At 49.9% G+C, this 21,005-nt stretch overlaps 2 protein-coding genes across 20 annotated transcripts in view, besides 3 other annotated features; one reads left to right on the top strand and one right to left on the bottom strand.

Annotated features, from left to right (window-relative positions):
* On the bottom strand, positions 215-2,902 carry HPS6 (HPS6 biogenesis of lysosomal organelles complex 2 subunit 3). Its single transcript, NM_024747.6, has one exon. The coding sequence runs from the start codon at positions 2,774-2,776 to the stop codon at positions 449-451; it is 2,328 nt and encodes a 775-aa protein (NP_079023.2). The 5' UTR covers positions 2,777-2,902; the 3' UTR covers positions 215-448.
* Positions 2,481-3,150: a silencer, noted in NCBI's record as "silent region_2738". NCBI's record gives its function as "represses an Ori minimal core promoter by ATAC-STARR-seq in GM12878 lymphoblastoid cells {active_cell/tissue: GM12878}" and the evidence as "EXISTENCE:reporter gene assay evidence [ECO:0000049][PMID:35858748]".
* Positions 3,361-3,410: an enhancer, noted in NCBI's record as "active region_3921". NCBI's record gives its function as "activates an Ori minimal core promoter by ATAC-STARR-seq in GM12878 lymphoblastoid cells {active_cell/tissue: GM12878}" and the evidence as "EXISTENCE:reporter gene assay evidence [ECO:0000049][PMID:35858748]".
* Positions 11,989-12,378: a silencer, noted in NCBI's record as "silent region_2737". NCBI's record gives its function as "represses an Ori minimal core promoter by ATAC-STARR-seq in GM12878 lymphoblastoid cells {active_cell/tissue: GM12878}" and the evidence as "EXISTENCE:reporter gene assay evidence [ECO:0000049][PMID:35858748]".
* The window catches only part of ARMH3 (armadillo like helical domain containing 3), a 210,575-nt gene continuing 201,647 nt past the window's right edge, over positions 12,078-21,005 (top strand). For 17 of the 19 annotated variants that reach the window (XR_001747199.2, XR_007061987.1, XR_007061988.1 and 14 more), the window contains exon 1: positions 12,078-12,166. The gene's annotated coding sequence lies outside the window, so the exon portion shown is untranslated. Of the gene's footprint in view, positions 12,860-21,005 lie in introns of all 19 variants that reach the window. The other 2 variants (XM_047425734.1, XM_011540151.4) reach the window with 1 other exon arrangement.

Genomic DNA, 21,005 nt, shown 5'->3' with positions numbered 1-21,005 from the left:
AACATCAGTACTTTCCCCACTGGGGTTATGAGAAGCTAGCTGAGGGATTATATAAAGATGAGTAGAATGCCTGGCTTCTATTAAATGCTCATAAATGTTAACTATTTTCATGATTGGAAGTGGGGACTTTAGCCAAAAGATCCAGATCCAACCACTCCCTCTATAACCTGCATCCTCTGAGACCTGTACCTGTTTAAAAACACACAACTGTGTATATATTAAACTATGTATATATTTAACACACACATCTTAAAAATAGCTCCAGATGACAGAACAGTATTGCATACACAGGTCCATACATGGGACCCTCCAAGTCCCAGGCACCCTTCCCTGATCACTGTGTCCTAGAAATGATTTCCTGTGTCAGTGACACAGAGGAACTGTCCAAGCAAGCCTCCAGTCCCAAGCAAGCCTCCAGGCCCTGAGTGTTCTGATGCCTGAAGGGTAGTCATAGGTCCCGAGGTGGAGTCGGGGGTGGAGTGCTGGGGTCCCATAGGATGTCCTCATATGGGCTTAGAACTGGGCCCGACAGCCATCCTTGAGCCCCAGTCTGCTCCAGCAGGGCTTTGAGCAAGCCCACAGTGAGAGGGGGCTCTGCTCCAGGCTCAGGGAATGGGGTTGGGGGCCCCACCTCATCTGGGAGGTATGTCCTCAGTAGAAGCAGGAGCTCAGCTGGAGCCAGTTCTGGTGGGCACAGGCGGCAAAGGAGGGGGAGGTGAGCATCAAGCCGGCGGTGCTGGGCAAACTCGGCCAGCAGCAGTTTGAAGATTTCACTTCGAAGCAGGGGACTGGAGGGGCCGAGGGCCAGGCCAGCATCCAGAGCCCGATCCCATTGTTCCTTTTGCACCAGCTGCCCGACAGCTTGGAGCACAGCTTTAGGCCGCCCACTGCTCAAGAGCAGCTCTAGCTCCAGAGCCTCAGGCCTGGTCCCCTCCTCACCTAGCACTGCCAGAGCTCGGCGATACAGGGGCAGTCCTGGGCCCCCTGCCCCCCAGCCCGGCCCGCCCTGCTGCTGTGCCAGCTCCACAAAGGGTGGCAGCCATCGAGGCTCCAGCTGGCACAGACACTGGCACAGGAGTTCAAAGGGGGGCAGTATTCCATTGGGGGGTTCCTTTCCAGCGGTTATTCCCCCTAACACTTTCTTCCACACATCAGGGGGTGCTTGGGACCTCAGCTTGCCATTCCCATCTAGCTGGAGCTGCAGGGCCCTGAGGGTGGCACCCCAGGCTGCTGTAGGAAGGGCTTGGAAAACGGTGTTGAGCTGGGCTAGCTGGTCTCCTATCAACTCAGTCCTCAGCAGGCGTGCCACTTCCTGCTCCGCCAGCTCAGTCCAACCAGCCTCCTCATCATCCCCAGCCACCAGCTGGGCCTTCAGCTGTTCTAAGCCTCGGTAATCCCGAAGCTCGGTCCTCAACATGGTCAGCAGTGCAGATGGGGGCAGGTGGCCCTGGAGGATGGAGGCCAGAGCCTGAGGTGCCCGGAATGTGCTGCTGTGTCTCAGTTCTTCTGGAGTGAGCTGGGCACCCCGCAGGCTCCGCCGCTGGTAGTACCCGCAGGCCTCCTCAAACACCAGATCCTTGGCTGAAGGCAACTCAACACCCTGTGGGGCTTCCCAGCCCACACAAAACAGACCCAAGGCTGAAAGCAGACGAAGATTCCCTCGGGTCTCCAGCTCTTCCTCATCCTCCATGCCGGGGGCTGGCGGTTCTAGCAGATGTACCCTGTCTGTACTTAGGACCTTCCTCTCCAGCAGCTGCCCACTGCCCATGTCCAGCAGTTCCAATGTGGAGCCCAGCACACAGGCCAGAGTGCCCTGAAATGTGCCTAGGGCTGCAGACCCCCACGGGCCTACAGGTGCCTCCTGCAGGGTGCCCACAGCCCGCGTACCACCGTGGGACTGCAATAGGCTCACAGTGCCCCCGAAGTCAAGCAACAGCAGGCCCTGGGGAGTTGGGGCCCAGGTGTGTACAGCCAGTGGCTCCCTGGGGGACAGCAACCCAGGAAGGCCTCGGAGCAGGGTCCGGAAGTCCCATGTGTCCCCTCGTCCAGGATTCAGACTCTTACTGTAGGAGAGACCAAGCCGTGGGGCAGCCACCATCACTTTGCCCTTGCCTGGGCTCCAGATGAGTAGAACGTGGGCCACGCCAGGCCAGGTGGTGGCAGTGGGCACCAGGAAGAGTTGTCTGCAGGAGGCCAGCAGCCCGAAGGCAGGGCAGTGGTGCAGCAGGACGTGTGTGCGGCCCAGGCTGGTGCTAGCTTCCCCGCTGGGCTCCAGAGTCCGGACGCACACACAGTGGCTGAAAGCGGCTGCTGGCGACCCTGACGGGCCCTCGGCCCGGGCCTGCCGCTCCTCGCACCACACCAGGCGGCCTCGGAGCGCCGCCACTGCCACAACGCGGGCTCCCCCGCCCGGACACAGCTCGGTGCTCTGCAGCGGCCGCCAGCCAGGCCCCACGCCCGCGCCCCACACCTCGGCCAGGCCACTCTCCCACACCAGCACCAGCGCCGGCCGCGCTGGCCACGGCAGGAAGAAGGCGTCCAGCGGGGAGGGCTGGCCGGCCGGCCAGGCCCGCTCTAGCTCCGCGCCGGGCCCTCGCGACGCGACTAGCAGCTGTGGGGCTACCGCCCCAGGGGGTCGCAGGAGCAGCAAGTGGCGGCCGTCCGGACTGCCACGGACTCGGACCGCTGAGTCCCCGGCCACCAGCTCCCGGAGCCGCGCCGCGCCGCCGAAGGCGCTCAGGTCCGAGAGCAGCCGCAGAGTCCCCGAGCGCTTCATGGCGCCGCTGCGCGGGAGCGCGCCCAGGCTTTGCCCAGGTCCAGCCGCCCAGCAGGGCGAGGCCCGATTCTCGGGGGAGCGGAGCAGGGCCAAGACTTCCGTCTCCCGTGGATGAGGTGAGCAGAGGCCGGGCCGAGCGTCGACTCCGCCCCGCCCGGCCGGCTCCGGGATGCCTCCCGCAGTCGCTGGGCCGACACTACACGCCCGCCGGGGGAGGAGCCACGGGAGCGCCCCAGGGGCTCAGCGCCTGGACCGCGCCCGCCCGGGCACGCTCTCGGCGCAGGGGGAGGCCCTTCCCCAGACCCCAGGACGCCGCCCAGTGGCCCGGAGTCCCACGCAGGAATAGGGATTCCAGCCCCCTGAGCCCCTCTCCCAAGAATTTCACCCCAATTTACTCATTCAGGAAATTTTCGTTGAGCACATGCTTTGTGCCAGGCTCTGAGTAGACAGCCCTAAACAAAATAGAAAACCTCAACCTCATGGAGATGACAATCTAGTGGAAATAGTAAACATGGCTGGGCGCGGTGGCTCACGCCTATAATCTTAGCACTTTGGGAGGCTGAGGTGGGAGGATTGCTTGAGGCCAGGCGTTCGAGACCAGCCTGAGCAACATAGGCAGACCTTGTCTCTATAAAAATTTTAAAAAGACAGAAAGAAAGAAAGAGAGAGAGAGAGAAGGAAGGAAGGAAAGAAAACCACTTCCATATCACTATGTGACAGCCTTCTCTATCCCCTAGTCCCTTTTACAGATAAGGAGGATGAAGCACAGAGAGATTACGTAACTTAACTAAGATCAAGCAGGTATTAAGTGGTGGAGGTGGGATTTCAACCACAGGCACTCTGGCTCCAGAGTCAGTGCAACAAATCACTTTATCATATCAACAACTCATCACCCAAACCAAAACAGAGAAACATAATTTAGAAGCACTGAGCCTGTGTACCGACTCTTCAGTAACACCTACAAATTTGTATGCAGGGGTCCTTCCACCCCTTGACTGCCTTTTCAGGTGAGCAGTTTTCCTCCTCTCTCCAAGGCCAATCCCTCTTTATGAGCCCTGCCTCTCCTCCCCGGCCCCTACCTTCCTTGAGAACTTGCATCCATTTCTGTTTCACTGCCCTCATTCCGTCCTCAGCATAGAAATACCCTGTCATCTCTCCTGTCTTGGAATTCGTTCTTTCATCCTCATCTCCCCACTTCCACCTCCATCACTCCCTCCCCTTTTCCTTTCTCAGTCAATTTTCTTGCAAGGATGCTACATTTGCCACCTCCACTTTCTTTCCTTCTATCCTCAACCCACTACTTCCCTGAAGTAGCTTTTGCTGAGGTCTTCAAGGACATTTTTATTTGACAGCCTTCTCATTGAAAGTCCCTCCTGTGGTTTGCACTGCATCTTTCCTGGCTGGTTTTCCTTTCCTTTTATTTTATTTTATTTTTTTATTTTTATTTTTAGATAGCACTGCCTTCAGAGTTTTATTTGCCTTTGGTTCATCTTCCTCCATCCTTTATTGATTGATTGATTGAGATAGAGTCTCACTCTGTCGCCCACGTTTGAGTGAAGTGGCACCATCTTGGCTCAGTGCAACCTCTGCCTCCTGGGTTCAAGCGATTCTCCTGCCCAGCCTCCCGAGTAGCTGGGATTAGAGGCACCCACCACCACGCCCACCTAATTTTTGTATTTTCAGTAGAGACAGGGTTTCACCTTGCTGGCCGGGATGGTCTTGATCTCTTGACCTCGTGATCCACATGCCTTGGCCTCCCAAAGTGCTGGGATTACAGGCATGAGCCACCGTGCCTGGCCTATTTATTTATTTATTGAGACAGAGTCTTGCTCCGTTGCCCAGGTTGAAGTGCAGTGGCGCAATCTCGGCTCACTGCTATCTCCATGTCCCAGGTTCAAGCGATTCTCCTGCCTAAGCCTCCCTCCCTAGTAGCTGGGATTTCAGAAGTGCACCACCATGCCCAGCTACTTTTTATATTTTTAGTAGAGGTCGGGTTTTGCTATGTTGGTTGGCCAGGCTGGTCTCGAACTCCAGGCCTCAAGTGATCTGCCCGCCTTAGCCTCTCAAAATGTTAGAATTACAGGTGTGAGCCACTGTACCCGGCCCCTCCATCATCCTTTAAATGTGCTCTTCCTCCTATATCCTGATTCCACTTTGAGCCCCTTTATTTTTTTCTTTTGCCTACAGCTCAGACGTCTCTGCTAAGCTCCACACAAAAAAAGAGCATCCAAATGTCTACTAAATATTTATTTCTGCCTAAGATGTCTCATCTCACAGACATTTCATTCTCAACATGTCCTAAACATCATCTTCCTGCCCCAAACTGCTCCTCCTTCAGTTGCTCTTAGTTGACATAGATTTCTTTTGTTTTTGTATCCTATCCTCATATTTAGAGTAGAGCCTGACACAAAGTCTCCACAGATGTTTGGTGAAGGAATCATTACGTTTTCATGGGCACATGTTTGTGTGTGTGATATCACTTAGAAAACTTTTCCTTAAAAATTACAGAAGTAGGCCAGGCACGGTGGTTCACGCATGCAGTTCCAGCTACTCAGGAGGCTGAGGCAAGAGGATTACTTGAGGCCAGGAGTTGGAGTCTGTGGTGTGCAATGATTGTGCCTGTGAATAGCCACTGCACTACAGCCTGGGCAACATGGCAAGCATCCTGTCTCTTTAAAAAAAAAAATTACAGAAACAGACCATGGCTGTCTTAAGCAAAAATGAAGTTATTTAGAAGAACATAGGGGACTCACAGAATCTTCAGGAGAAAGGAAGAACAGGTGTGGCAAATGGTCATGAACCAAGACACCCACACCCACCAAATACTAAGAAGTAGGAAGCACGACTTTTTTTTTTTTTTTTTTAGACAGAGTCTTGCTGTCTCCCCAGGCTGGAGTGCAGTGGCACAATCTTGGCTCACTGCAACCTCTGCCTCCTGGGATCAAGCAATTCTTCCACCTCAGCCTCCCGAGTAGCTGGTATCACAGGTGCACACCACCATGCCCTGCTAATTTTTGTATTTTTTGTAGAGACGGGGTTTTGCCATGTTGGCCAGGCTGGTCTTGAAGGTCCTGGCCTCAGGTGATCCACCTGCCTCGGCCTCCCAAAGTGCTGGGATTACAGGTATGAGCCACTGTGCCTGGCCACAACTGTTTTTTTAGCCGGAACAATTTGTTAAAGATACCATGATCTCTGGTGCTATACAAGCTGATCACTGCACTGGAAGACAGCACCTGTTATGAATAAATTCTGATCATACCTTCTATTGGGGTTCACCTCATTACACCTTTCTCTTACACCTGCCTACTTTTTTATATTCTATTAGGGTACAACTTTGATTTTTTTAAAAAACTGCAAATTGGCTGGGTGCGGTAGCTCACACCTGTAGTCCCAGCACTTTGGGGGGCTGAGGCAGGCGGATCACCTGAGTTCGGGAGTTCTAGACCAGCCTGACTAACATGGAGAAACCCTGTCTCCACTAAAAGTACAAAATTAGCCCAGCGTGGTGGTGCATGCCCGTAATCCTAGCTACTCAGGAGGCTGAGGCAGGAGAATCGCTTGAACCCAGGAGGCGGAGGTTGCCGTGAGCCGAAGTCACGCCATTGCACTCCAGCCTGGACAACAAGAGCGAAATTGTGTCTCAGAAAAAAAAAAAAACAAACCAAAAAAACCCCTGCTAATCATGTCTTTCTTTTTCTTTTTTTTTTTTTTTTTTGAGACGGAGTCTTGCTCTGTCACCCAGGCTAGAGTGCAGTGGTGCGATGTCAGCTCACTGCAACCTCCGCCTCCCAGGTTCAAGCGATTCTCCTGCCTTAGCCTCCCAAGTAGCTGGGATTACAGGCGCCCACCACTGTGCCTGGCTAATTTTTGTAGTTTTAGTAGAGACAGGGTTTCACCATCTTGGCCAGGCTGGTCTCGAACTCCTGACCTCAGGTGATCCACCCGCCTCGGCTTCCCAAAGTGCTGGGATTACAGGCATAAGCCCCCGCCCCAGGCCAATCATGTCTTATACTATTGTGTAAGTAGACAAGAAAAATAAAACTCTACCAAGGAAGAACCTGAACTTCTGTGTTAAGAGGTGTTTCCTAATAGATCTGGATTCAAACCCTTCTCCACTTCTCACTAACTTTACATCTCTCTCTCTCTGTCTTTTTTTTTTTTTTTTTGAGATGGGCTCTTGCTCTGTTGCCTAGGCTGGAGTGCAGTGGCACGATCTCTACTCACTGCAACCTCCGCCTCCTGGGTTCAAGCGACTCTCCTGCCTCAGCTTCCCGAGTACAGGCACCTGCCACCATGCCCGGCTAATTTTTGTATATGTATATTTTTTTAGTAGAGAGAGGGTTTCCCCATGTTGGCCAGGCTGGCCTCGAACTCCTGACCTCAAGTAATCCACCGGTCTTGGCCTCCCAAAGTGCTAGGATTACAGGCGTGGGCCACTGCACTCTCTCTCTCTCTCATTCTCTTTCTCTCTCTTTTTTTTTTTTTGACAGGGAGTCTCATTGTCACCCAGGCTGGAGTGCAGTGGCGCGATTTTGGCTCACTGCAACCTCTGCCTCCCGGGTTCAAGCTATTCTCCTGCCTCAGCCTCCCGAGTAGCTGGGACTACAGTTGCATGCCACCACACCTGGCTAATTTTTTGTATTTTTAGTAGAGACGGAGTTTCACCGTGTTTGCCAGGATGGGCTCGATCTCCTGACCTGGTGATCCACCTGCCTTGGCCTCCCACAGTGCTGGGATTACAGTCGTGAGCCACCGCACCCAGCCCACATCTCTTGATGAAGAACTAAGTGCCAGGTGCATTGGCTCATACCTGTAATCCCAGCACTTTGGGAGGCCGAGGCAGGTGGATCACGAGGTCAGGAGATTGAGACCATCCTGGCTAACATGGTGAAACCCCGTCTCTACTAAAAATACAAAAAATTAGCCAGGCGTGGTGGTGGGTGCCTGTAGTCCCAGCTACTCGGGAGGCTGAGGCAGGAGAATGGTGTGAACTGAGGAGGTGGAGCTTGCAGTGAGTTGAAATTGTGCCACTGCACTCCAGCCTGGGTGACAGAGCAAGACTCCGTCTCAAAAAAAAAAAAGAAAAAAAAAAGAAAAAAGAAATAAAGCCCTTGAAAGCTGCACCTAGTGTCTGAACCCAGGTCACATGCCCTCACTTATCTTGGTTGCCCAGGGCATAGTTTTCCATTGAGACTATGCCCAAGGAGGAATCTTCCAGAATAAAGGAGGAAGAATTCAATGCTGAATAACCTAAACAATATGACATAGGGTTTTTGTTATCCCCATTTTCTAGATGAGGAAACTAAGTCTCAGAGAGCTCAAGTAATTGCTCAGTCTTAGAGTTAGTGGGTAGCAGATCTGGGATCCCTTCTCATAGTTTTCCAGAGGTAGTGCTCTTACCTACTCAGTATATGGCCTTCTATATTTATTCTAGTCTGCATCTGTATGAAATTGACTTCCCTGGCATAGATGTGGGCAATGTATTGTGCTGCTTCATTCTCATACCTTCTTTCTTTTTCTCCTCTCCTCTAACGCTTGACTCAATCTTCACCTTTCTCAGAAAGCCTCTGGAGATTCACATGACATTTTCCCTTCTCTGAATTTTCAAGGCATTTACAACTTCAGCCTTTGTATTCCAGCTTGTATTCATTGAGATTTAAAACATTTAATTGTGTATATCTCTATCTCTGTACCTATCACTTTGTTACAATATACTCTCAGAATTGCTATTTTTCTTTTTACTGCTCCCAGGATTGGATATTCAGTAGGTGCCACGGGGAAAAGTGTTGTTTATTTTATTTTATTTTATTTGAGACAGGGTCTCACTCAGTTGCCCAGGCTGGAGTGCAGTGGTTCACTCTAGCCTCTACCTCCCAGGCTCAAGCGATCCTCCAACCTCAGCCTCCCAAGTAGCTGGGACTATAGGTGCACTCAGCTAATTTTTTAAATTTTTAGTAGAGATGAGATCTCATTATATTTCCCGAGCTGGTCTCAAACTCCTGAGCTCAAGCAGTCCTCCTGCCTTGACCTCCCAAAGATTACAGGCATGTAATTGCTGTAATTACAGCTGGGATTACAGGCATGAGCCACGGCAGCATGCCAGAAAAATAATTTTGTTAAAAAGAAATCAGATACGCCCGGGCATGGTGGCCCGGGCCTGTAACCCCAGCACTTTGGGAGGCCGAGATGGGTGGATCACCTGAAGTCAGGAGTTCGAGACTAGCCTGACCAACATGAAGAAACCCCGCCTCTACTAAAAATACAAAAACTAGCTGGGCGTGGTGGCACATGCCTATAATGCCAGCTACTTGGGAGGCTGAGGGAGAATTGCTTGAACCTAGGAGGCGGAGGTTGCAGTGAGCCAAGATGGTGCCATTGCGCTTCAGCTTGGGCAATAGAGTGAGGCTCCATCTCAAAACAAAAAATCAGGTATAGAACAGGGTTCTTTTAGCTGAACACAGGCTTCTAACTGGTATTCAAGAACTATTGGGGTTCACCTCATGATACCTTTCTCTTGCCCCTGCCCACTCTTTTATATTCTATTAGAGTACAGCTTTAATTTTTTTTTTTTTTTTTTGAGAGGGAGTCTCGCTCTGTTGCCCAGGTTGGAGTGCAGTGGCACCATCTCGGCTCACTGCAAGCTCCGCCTCCTGGGTTCACGCCATTCTCCTGCCTCAGCCTCCCAAGTAGCTGGGACTACAGGCGCCCACCACCACGCCCGGCTAATTTTTTGTATTTTTAGTAGAGATGGGGTTTCACCGTTTTAGCCAGGATGGTCTCGATCTCCTGGCCTCGTGATCCGCCCGCCTCGGCCTCCCAAAGTGCTGGGATTACAGGCGTGAGCCACCGCGCCCGGCCCGCTTTAATTTTTTTAACAGCCAATCATGTCTTACACTGCTGTGTAAGTAGACGAGAAAAATAAAACTCTACCAAGGTAGAACCTGAACTTCTGGATTGAGAGGTCTTTCCTGACAGATCTGGGTTTGAACTCTGTAGGGTCTAGCCCTACAGGGCCTGTGGGTTTTCTCTTCGTGTGTGGAGACGAGAGATGGTAGAAATAAAGACACAAGACAAAGAGAAGAAAAGACAGCTGGGCCCGGGGGACCACTACCACCAAGACGCAGAGACTGGTAGTGGCCCCGAATGCCTGGCCACGCTGCTATTTATTGTGTACAAGGCAAGGGGGCAGGGTAAGGAGTGTGAGTCATCTCCAATGATAGGTAAGGTTACACAAGTCACGTGTCTGCCGGACAGGGGGCCCTTCCCTATTTGGTAGCCGAAGCAGAGAGAGAGGGGACAGCTTACGTCATTATTTCTTCTGTGCATTTCTCAGAAAGATCAAAGACTTTAATACTTTTACTAGTTCTGCTACTGCTATCTAGGTACAGAGCGGAACAGGAAAGTGAACCAGGAGCGTGACCGCTGAAGCACAGCATCTCGGAGAGGTTTAAGCCTCCGGTTGGCTGCGGGTAGGCCTGGCTGATGTCAGGCTTCCAACAAGAGGTGGTGAAGCAGAGTGTTCTCTAACTTCCTCAGGGAAAGGCCCGTCTGCTAAGTAACAGGTGCCTTCCCAGGCACTGGCGCTATGGCTAGTCCAAGGTCTGCTAAGTAACGGGTGCCTTCTTAGGCACTGGCATTACCGCTAGACCAAGGAGTCCTCTAGTGGCCCTGTCTGGGCGTGACAGAGGGCTCACACTCTTGCCTTCTGGTCACTTCTCACCGTGTCCCTTCAGCTCCTAACTCTGTATGGCCTGGTTTTCCTAAATTATAATTGTAAAATATAAGTTATTAATAAAAGTAATGCTACAAACTAATGATTACTAATATTCATATATAATCACATCTATATTCTATTTCTAATATAGCTATTCTTATTTTAATTATTTTCTTTATTATACTGGAACAGCTTGTGTCTTCGGTCTCTTGACTCGGCACCTGGGTGGCTTGCCGCCCACAGAACTCTTCTCCACTTCTTTTTTGTTTTGAGACGGAGTCTCGCTCTGTCGCCCAGGTTGGAGTGCGATGGCGCGATCTTGGCTCACTGCAACCTTCGCCTCCCAGGTTCAAGCGATTCTCCTGCCTCAGCCTCCCGAGTAGCTGGGATTACAGAGGACTGCCAACACGCCCGGCCATTTTTTGTATTTTTAGTAGAGATGGGGTTTCACCATGTTGGCCAGGCTGGTCTCGAACTCCTGACCTCAGGTGATCCACCCGCCTTTGCCTTCCAAAGTGTTGGGATTACAGGTGTGAGCCACCGCGCCTGGCTTATTTTATTTTTTTTACTTGTTTTTTCTTTTTAATAGTATTCTTGCTGTTATAGCACATCTTTTTAAACCTTCCATTTGTGTATAAAAAAACAGAGACTCAGGCTGGGTGCGGTGGCTCACGCCTGTAATCCCAGCATTTTGGGAGGCAGAGGCGGGTGGATCACCTGAGGCCAGGAGCTTGAGACCAGCCTGGCAACATGGTGAAACCTTGTCTCTACTAAAAAATACAAAAATTAGCCGGGCGTGGTGGTACACTCCTGTAATCCCAGCTACTGGGGAGGCTGAGGCAGGAGACTCTCTTGAACCCGGGAGGCAGAGGTTGCAGTGAGCCGAGATCGCACCACTGCACTCCAGCCTGGGCAATAGAGTGAGACACCATCTCGAAAAAAAAAAAAAAAAAGAAAACAAAGACTCAGAGGCAGGGAGTGGTGGCACGTGCCTGTAATCCCAGCTACCAGAGGCAGAGGCAGGAGGACTGCTTGAGCCTAGGAGGTGGAGGCTGCACTGAGCTGTAATTGTGCCACTGCGGCACTCCAGCCTGGGCAAGGGCAAGATCCTGTCTCAAAAAAAAAAAAAAGGAAAAGAAAAGAAAATAGATTTCTGGCCAAGTTAATAGAGCTTTACACGCTACTTTGCACTTATCAGGCACACACGTATTTGTTGAAAGAATGAGTTTGTTTTCAATCTTTCACGTACAAAGTTGTAATACACATTTGGAAAATATATCTTTCCAAACTTCGCCAGTATTTCTAGAGGATACATGTATTCCTAGAAGTAAAATTGCTGAGGTCAAAGAGTCGGCCATGTTTCGGAAAACTGCTATTGCGACCCAGTAGGCCCTCAATAGACAAGTCCACTGCGAATTTATTTCTCGCGATGCCTTTCGGGAGTTGTAGTCTTTGCGATGCTTGCTGGGAATCGTGGTCTGAGCCGGTCTCAGGAAGCGGGCGTGGACTAACCCATTGCGCGCCGGGCTTTAGGACCCGGCGGGGCGCGGGGACACGGGAAGGGTCGGGGAGGTCGGGAGCGCGCCCGTGAGCCCGGAGCAGCGGCAGCGTCGGTGGCGTCGAGAGCGAGCGGGCCCGGGAACGGCGCGGGTGGTAGAGGAGGAGCCGCGGGCTCGGTAAGCGGCGGCGGCCAGGCCCGGCCCGGTCCTCGAACCTGACCAACCCTGCGGGTCCTGCCATACTAGGCCTTGGCCCCGAGGCGGTTCTGGGGGCGGGGCCTGCGCTGGCCGCGGGGACGACGAGGACGCGAGGGGAGAGGGAGGGAGGACGGCTGCTGAAGCTGCGTATGCCGGGGAGGGCTGGGCCTGGGGGCGGCCGAGCCTAGAGAGAAACGGCTTCGCTCTTCCAGCGGCCGGTCCCTCGGACCACACGGTCCCGGTCACGTCCCTCTCCCGCATCCCTGCGGGGCCTTCTGGCTTCCGAGGTGCTGACCTTTGACCCCGCCAGCTGCCCCGAGAGCTTCCTCTCCTGCTGTTCTTGGTCCTGGGGTGCGGGCGTAGGGCAAGGCACCTCTGAGAATCTCAGGGATAGAGGAAAGCGGGTTTGTGCGAAGTCTTCAGGTGTCCCGGAAGGGCTCCAGTCCTGTCCCTCTCCAGGCTCTGACAGGCTTTAACCCACTCTTCACACGGAATCAGTGAAGCTACTGTGTTTTCTTTGGGTTACTCGGCGAGAGCCCAGGAAAGGAACCTGTTCCCAGGAGGGTATAGGGAAGGAAAAAGTAGAGAGAAACCTGGTCCCCTGGAGAAGGAGAAGCTGAGGCGTGCTGCCCCTGGCGAATGGGGAAGCAGAAACTTGGGCCATACCCAAATGTATGTCACTGGATCATCCGACCCTCCGCAGTTCTTCCTCTCCAGAAAGTTTTTTATTTTATTTTATTTATTTATTTATTTATTTATTTATTTTGAGATGGAGTTTCGCTGTTGTCGCCCAGTCTGGAGTGCAGTTGCCCGATCTCGGCTTACCACAACCTCTGCCTCCGGGGTTCAAGCGATTCTCCTGCCTCAGCCTTGCGCTACCACGCCCAGCTAATTTTATATTTTTGATAGAGACGGGATTTCTCCATGTTGGTCAGGCTGGTCTCGAACTCCCAACCTCAGGTGATCCGCCCGCCTCGGCCTCCCAAAGTGCTGTGATTAAAGGCGTGAGCCACCGCGCCCGGCCTTTTTTTTTTTGTTTGTTTGTTTGTTTTGTTTTTTGTTTTTTTGAGACGGAGTTTCGCTCTCGTTGCCCAGGCTGGAGTGCAATGGCGTGATCTCGGCTCACTGCAACCTCCGCCTTCCAGGTTCGAGCGATTCTTCCCCGTCAGCCCCCCAAGCAGCTGGGATTACAGACGTGAGCTACCACGCCCGGCTAATTTTTGTATTTTTAGTAGAGACAGGGTTTCGCCATGTTGGCCAGGCTGGTCTCAAACTTCTGACCTCAGATGATTCACCCACCTCGATCTCCCAAAGTGTTCGGATTACAGGTGTGAGCCACTGCGCCCGGCCAGAAAAAGTTTTGAGCTTAGTGAGAGCTTTTTCTTTGCTATCCTTTAGTTGCTTTGTAAACTAGGGTAAATATGATTTGTGTCCCTGCCCGTAACTTAGCAGGATTGGAATTATTTTGGGTGTACCTTAAGTTGGATTTGTGTGCACAATAGCTTCTGTGTGAAGACTTTCAGGATATCAGATCACAGTCAAGGGAAAGAGGGATCCCTCTTGTTACGACTGTAAAGGGGGAATACCCATTTCAGTGACTAGAGAAGCCTTTAAGGTGTTTTCATTGGACTTTTAGGTATTACAATTTATTGTTCAACTTTTTTTTTTTTTTTTTGAGACGGAGTCTCGCTCTGTCGCCCAGGCTGGAGTGCAGTGGCATGATCTTGGCTCACTGCAACCTCCGTCTCTCGGGTTCCAGCGATTCTTCTGCCTTAGCCTTCTGAGTAGCTGTGACTACAGGCGCGCACCACCATGCCTGGCTAATTTTTGTGTTTTTAGTAATGACGGAGTTTCACCATATTGGCCAGGCTGGTCTCCAACTCCTGACCTCGTGATCCACCCGTCTCAGCCTCCCAAAGTGCTGGGATTACAGGAGTGAGTCACTGCCCCCAGCCGACTTGTTCAACATTTGGATAATTAAAACAAGGTGAAAACCTCAAAGCAGTCATTATGAAATTTGGAATCTCACACTGAGCACAGTTTAGGAATCTGTAACATTTGGGGAAAATGGCCAAAAATTGATCCAGGATATATAAGGGTGAACTGTTTATTCAACACATTTATTGAGCACTTACTATGTAACTTTGGGAGGCGGAGGCCGGCGGATCACAAGGTCAGGAGATCAAGACCATCCTGGCTAACATGGTGAAACCCCGTCTCTACTAAAAATACAAAAAATTAGCCGGGTGTGGTGGCGGGCGCCTGTAGTGCCAGCTACTAGGAGGCTGAGGCAGGAGAATGGCATGAACCCAGGAGGCGGAGCTTGCAGTGAGCCGGGATGGTGCCACTGCACTCCAGCCTGGGCGACAGAGCGAGACTCCCTCTCAAAAAAAAAAAAAAAAATTTATACAGTGTAATGGGAATACTGCCATTGCTTGGGAGAGTCAGGGAAATCTTTGCAGGGGGGAGATACTTGAGTTGGGTGTTGAAGGATGAGTAGGAGATTGCACAAGTAAGAAAAGGCATTTTTACTCGGCCTGGTGGCTTATACCTGTAATCCTAGCACTTTGGGAGGCCTAGGCAGGTAGATTGCCTGAGCCCAGGAGTTTGAGACGAGCTGGCTCAACATGGCGAGACCCCATCTCTGAAAAAGAAAAGGCATTTCATTTGGAGAGAACAGTACTTGCAAAGGCTTGGTGAGGATGTGAGAGGAAAAAAAATTATTTTAAATCTCAGAAATTTGTCCCAAACAGGATGTGTGGTGGGGAAACTGCTAGGAGGTGAGACTGAAAAGAAAGTGGGGAGTCATTGGAATTTTTTTCTCTTTTTTTTTTTTTTTTTTTTTTTTTAGCTTCTGAGGAGTTTTTTTTAAGTTAGGGAGTGACAGAAATGCAGATTAAAGTAATGAAGAATGAGGCAGTGAGACTAATTAGAGTTGTTGCAATTGACTGAGAGTCTGAAGAAAGTGTAGCTGTGGGAATGAAGAGGAGGGGATTTTGGAAATACTGTACTTCTGAGATTGATTCAACTTCTTAGGAAGAGAGTGGGCTAGGATTTCTAATTTGAGAGAGTGGATGTATGGGGATTTCATTGACAGGATATGGATTAGAAAAAGTAGAGCAGGTTTCCAAAGGTTAGGGTATGGAAAGAGGCATAGGGGATATGGTTTGGTATGCCGAGCTCAGGTTGCTTGTAGGATGTACCGATGGAGACCTTAGTAGGCAGCTGGAAGTGAGAGACCTGGTGAGCTTAATGTATTGGCACCAGCTTTGAGTGAGGGCATATATGAAAAAAGTCTTGGGGAAAAAAAAATGTTTATTTTATTTGTCTATAAGGAAGTAGCAGATTATGCACTTCCTCCACTTAATAGTGAGCTTCTCAAGGCAGGGACTGTAATTTAGTAATTTTTTGGTCCCTTTCTGTCTTACACTATGCTTATGTAATTTATAAGGTCTTAATAAGTGTTATTCAAGTAGCAGGAAATCAGTTTACTTTGCAAGATTGCAGGTACCTTTTGGGCTTCCTTTATGAAGATTATGGGGTCAGGCAAGGTGTCTCATGCCTGTAATCCCAGCACTTTGGGAGGCCGAGGCTGGTGGATTGCTTGAGCTCAAGAGTTCAAGATTAGCCTGGGCAAGATAGCAAAACCCTGTCTCTACAAAAAATACAAAAATGAGCCGGGTGTGGCAGTGTGAGCCTGTAGTGCCAGCTACTAAGGAGGCTGAGGTGGGAGGGTCGTGTAAGCCCAGGAGGTTGAGGCTGCAGTGAGCTGTGATTGTGCCACTGCATTCCAGCTTGGGCAACAGAGGGAGACTGTCTTTCGGTGGGGCGGGGGAGTGGGGGAAGAAGATGATTATGGGACTTTATCTTATAATTTTCATTTTATATTTAGGTGGTGTTCATGAGGCTTGTATAATTGAGCAGGGGAAGAAATGAGAAGATATGAGTGACAGTGTGCCGTTTGAATAAGTTCAGGGCTGGAGCAGGAGAAAGTATTAATTTACAGGAATCTCCTGCTCATTGAGAAGATCTTACCATGAATTTTCATTCTGGGATGTGTCAGAAAATGTGGTTTCTAATCAGAATTTCCTGAAATACTGTCAATTTGGAGCTGGTTCCCCCTTCGGAAGGAGGAATGCCTTCCTTCTTGTGTAGGATAATTTGAAAGGGAACCAAAGGTGGTCATGTTTATTTAAATGAACGAGAGCTCATCTTCATTGATCATTTGTAACATTAGGCAAACTGAGTAGATGCTGATGGGACCAGATTAAATTGTCTTTTGTGAAGCTAGTTGACCTGTAGTAGGTACAGACTGGCTGATACCTGGGAATAGTCCTGGTTTTGCCATTTGCTTCTTAGTCTTGGGAAAGTCTCTGAGTTACTTCCATTTTCAGGTATAGGCTGAACACCCATTCTGAGGGGAGCATTGTCTAGAGCACACAAGCTATGGACCCTGCCTTGTAGTGGTTTGTGTGCTTCCTTAATCAGTCTGGTTCTGTCCTAGCTTCTAGAAAATAGAGATGATGCTTGTCAGGTGATGTCCTGAGTTGACTGACTTCTTTCTTTTTCTTTTTCTTTTTTTTTTTTTTCCGAAATGGAGTCTCCCTCTGTTGCCCAGGCTGTAGTGCAGTGGCCCAGTCTTGGCTCACTGCAACTTCCGCCTCTTGGGTTCAAGTGATTCTCCTGCCTCAGCCTCCTGAGTAGCTGGGATTACAGACCCCCTCCACCACACCCAGCTACTTTTTGTATTTTTAGTAGAGATGGTGTTTCACAGTGTTGGCCAGGCTGGTCTCGAACTCTTGACCTCAGATGATCCGCCGGCCTTGGCCTCCCAAAGTGCTGATATTACAGGCATGAGCCACTGCGCCCACTTGACTTTTCTTTCTTTCTTTTTTTTTTTTTTTTTGAGACAGAGTCTTGCTCTGTCGCCCAGCAGGGTGGAGTACAAGTGGCACAATCTTTGCTCACTGCAACCTCCCTCTCCCGGGTTCAAGTGATTCTCCTGCCTCAGCCTCTTGAATAGCTGGGATTACAGGTGCTTGCCACCATGCCCAGCTAATTTTTATATTTTTAGTAGAGGCAGGGTTTCACCATGTTGGCCAGGACAGCCTTGAATTCTTACTCTTAAGTGATCTGCCTCGGCCTCCCAAAGTGCTGAGATTACAGGCGTGAGCCACCATGCCTGGCCTTTTTTTTTTTTTTTTTCTGAGATGGAGTCTTGTTCTGTCACCCAGGCTGGAGTGCAGTGGCGTGATCTCAGCTCAGCGCAACCTCTACCTCCCAGGTTCAAGCAATTCTCGTGCCTCAGCATCCCAAGTGGCTGGGACTACAGGCATGTGCCACCACGCTGACTAATTTTTGTATATTTAGTAGAGATGGGGTTTTACCATGTTGGCCAGGCTGGTTTCGAACTCCCGACCTCAAGTGATCCACCTGCCTCGGCCTCCAAGAGTGTTGGGATTACCGACTTGAGCCACCACATTTGGTGACTTTTCTTGGATAAAATGGGAGTGTTGATATTATGGATGTCAGTTTGGAGTTTCTATAGAAGTGTAACTTTAACTGAATCTTTTTATTTATTTATGTATGTATGTATTTATTTATTTATTTGAGACAGAGTCTTGCTCTGTTGCCCAGGCTGGGGCTGGAGTGCAGTGGCGCGATCTCGGCTTACTGCAAGCTCCACCTCTCGGGTTCAGCCATTCTCTTGCCTCAGCCTCCCGAGTAGCTGGGACTACAGGTGCCCACCACCACGCCTGGCTAATTTTTGTTTTTTTGTATTTTTAGTAGAGACGGGGTTTCACCGTGTTAGCCAGGATGGTCTCAATCTCCTGACCTTGTGATCTGCCCTCCTCGGCCTCCCAAAGTGTTGGGATTACAGGCATGAGCCACAGCGCCTGGCTCTATTTTTTTTATTTTTTGAGACTGAGTCTGGCTCTATCGCCCAGGCTGGAGTACAGTGGCGCGATCTCAGCTCGTTGCAACCACCGCCTCCCGGGTTCAAGCGATTCTCGTGCCTCAGACTCCCGAGTAGCTGGGATTACAGTGAATCTGGTTTTTAATGGTCTAGTTAGCTCCTGATGTTTTGCACTAACAGGACATTCTGATAGGGAGAAGCGCTACCAGAGAGAAAGATTTAATGGCTTTATCACTTACTAGTTGTGTTACTTTGGGCAAAGTAATATCCTCATTGTAAAAATAGGTTGGGGCCGGGTGCAGTGGCTCATGCCTGTAATTCTAGCACTTTGGGGGGCCTAGGTGGGAGGATTGCTTGAGCCCAGGAGTTTGAGACCAACCTGGGCAACATGGTGAAACTCAATCTCTACAAAAAATATGAAAAGTTAGCCAGGCCTGGTGGCATGTGCCTGTAGTCCCAGCTACCCAGGAGGCTGAGGTCAGAGGATCCCTGAGGCTGCAGTGAGCCATGATTGTGCCACTGCACTTCAGCCTTGAGACCCTATCTCAAAAAAAAAAAAAAAAAGTTGCAGGCCCTACTCTATTTTCTTTCTTTCTTTTTTTTTGGAAACAGAGTCTCGCTCTATCCCCCAGGCTGGAGTGCAGTGGCGCGATCTTGGCTCACTGCAACCTCCGCCTCCTGGGTTCAAGCAATTCTCCTGCCTCAGCCTCCTGAGTAGCTGGGATTACAGGCACTTGCCACGATGCGTGGCTAATTTTTGTATTTTTAGTAGAGACGGGGTTTCTGCATGTTGGCCAGGCTGGTCTGGAACTCCTGACCTCAAGTGATCCGCCCGCCTCAGCCTCCCAAAGTACTGGGATTACAGGCGTGAGCCACCGTGCCAGCCCTATTTTCATTTTGGATCTATAGAATCCTTGGAGTGAACTAGCAGTAGAAATTCATTAAAATAGAAAGGGGTTATTTGCTTGTCTTAGAGCCAGTCTTTTGGATGGAAGTGGGGGAACCTGTCCCATGCTACTGAAAGAAGCTGTGCTAAGGAACCATGTGGAACAGTAGGATGTGATCTAGCAAGTGAGCTAAATACCTGGGGCTTTTAGAAAAGAAGAAAGAATGATGCCCACATTCTTCACAAAGGAAAAAAAAAAAGAAAGTGAGAGGCATATTAGGAGATAGCTTGAAGGGCTGGGGCTTGGAGATAGAAAAACTGCATTCTCCTTAAGTTCTTATAGTGCTAATGTTTACCTCCAGGTAGTATGTTAGGTCCTGCAGAGAGGCTTAGGGAGCAGGTAACTTTTGCGTAAAGGTTTTTTAAAAAACCCTGTATCTAGAGAAACTAGGGAATTTTTAGGAGATCAGGACAGGAGACTTACTGGAAAGTCAGGGTAGGGGACTATTGCTGGCTTGATATAAACATGTTGTCTCAGCTGGGTGCGGTGGCTCATGCCTGTAATCTCAGCACTTTGGGAGGCTGAGGCAGGCGGATAACTTAAGATGAGTTCGAGACCAGCCTGGCCAACTTGGTGAAGCCCTGACTCTACAAAAAAATACTAAAATTAGCTGGGTGTGGTGGCATGCGCCTGTAGTCCCAGCTACTTGGGAGGCTGAGGCAGGAGAATTGCTGGAACCCAGGAAGCGGAGGTTGCAGTGAACTGAAATCGTGCCATTGCACTCCAGCCTGGGCGACACAGTGAGACACTGTCTCAAAATGAAACAAAACAAAAACGTGTTGCCTCCTTTGTATATTGGGTGAATGGCTCATGGTCAGATAATGGTAATATTTTCTTTGACTTAGCCACAACTCTTGGACAGATAGCTACATAAGATTTTCATCTCCATCACTAAGTATTGTGGATACTATAGTCAGTGTGTCTTGTAGTGATCTTCTTTCACATATGGGGAAATGGGCTACAGTCCCAAAGGAAGTGTGATTTAATGTGGGGAGAATGATATGTGATAAGGTGAGTGTTGCTTCAACGCCCTTTTTAGAGACTGCAGAGGTTTCATTTATTCTCTCAGTATCATCTGTCTAGATACTCCTTCCTTTTCCAAGTCTGGTTTAAGGCTGGGATGAGTACTTCTCAAACTTTAATGGTCATCAGAATTACTTGGGGCAGGGCTTTTTAACCTCTTTGATATTGACATGTTGGGCTGGATAATTCTTTGTTGTGGGAGGCTGCCTCGAGTATTGTATGATGTTTAACAGCATCCCTGGCCTCTACCTAGTAGGTGCCAGTAGTACCTCCTCTCCCAGTTGTGACAATCAAAAATGTCTCCAGACATTGACAAATGTCCCCTGGGAGGCAAAATTGCACCAGTTGAGAATCACTGATCTGGAGTGATTGTTAAAAATGTAGACCCAAGCTAGGCACTGTGGCTTATGCCTGTAATCCCAGCACTTTGGGAGGCCAAGTGGGCAGATCACTTGAGCTCAGGAGTTTTGAGACCAGCCTGGGCAACATGGCGAAATCTCGTTTCTACAAAAAAATGCAAAAATTAGCCAGGTGTGGTGGTGTGTGCCTGTAGTCCCAGCTACTTGGGAGGCTGAGGTGGAAGGATCACTTGAGCCTGGGATGCGGAGGTTGCCGTGAGCCGAGATCATGCCACTGCACCCCAGCCTGGGTGACAGAGTGAGAGGTTGTCTCTCAAAAAAAAAAAAAAAAGTTTGGTTCAATAGAATGGTAGGAAGGCTTAAGAATTTACATATTTAGGAGGCACCCCAGGAGATTCTGAAATAGGGGATCACAGCTCATCAGTATTAAAACATACTCCCTCCTAAGCTGAGGATTGTACAGACTCTTAGTTGACTTGTTTTCCATTTCTTTTTTCTGTCCTGTTTTATAGTATCTTTCTATTCATTATAAAGTTGAGGGAGAATTATCCTCAGAACACTGACTATACTCA

Source organism: Homo sapiens, chromosome 10 (genome assembly GCF_000001405.40).
Source record: "Homo sapiens chromosome 10, GRCh38.p14 Primary Assembly".
In the NCBI taxonomy this organism is placed as follows: Eukaryota; Metazoa; Chordata; class Mammalia; order Primates; family Hominidae; genus Homo; species Homo sapiens.
The sequence above is the reverse complement of the archived record's forward strand: the minus strand, read 5'-3'. Positions and strand labels throughout refer to the sequence as shown.

Bases quoted from the DNA above. Each gene is read 5' to 3' on its own strand.
- HPS6 (NM_024747.6), bottom strand. From the start codon at position 2,776: ATGAAGCGCTCGGGGACTCTGCGGCTGCTCTCGGACCTGAGCGCCTTC.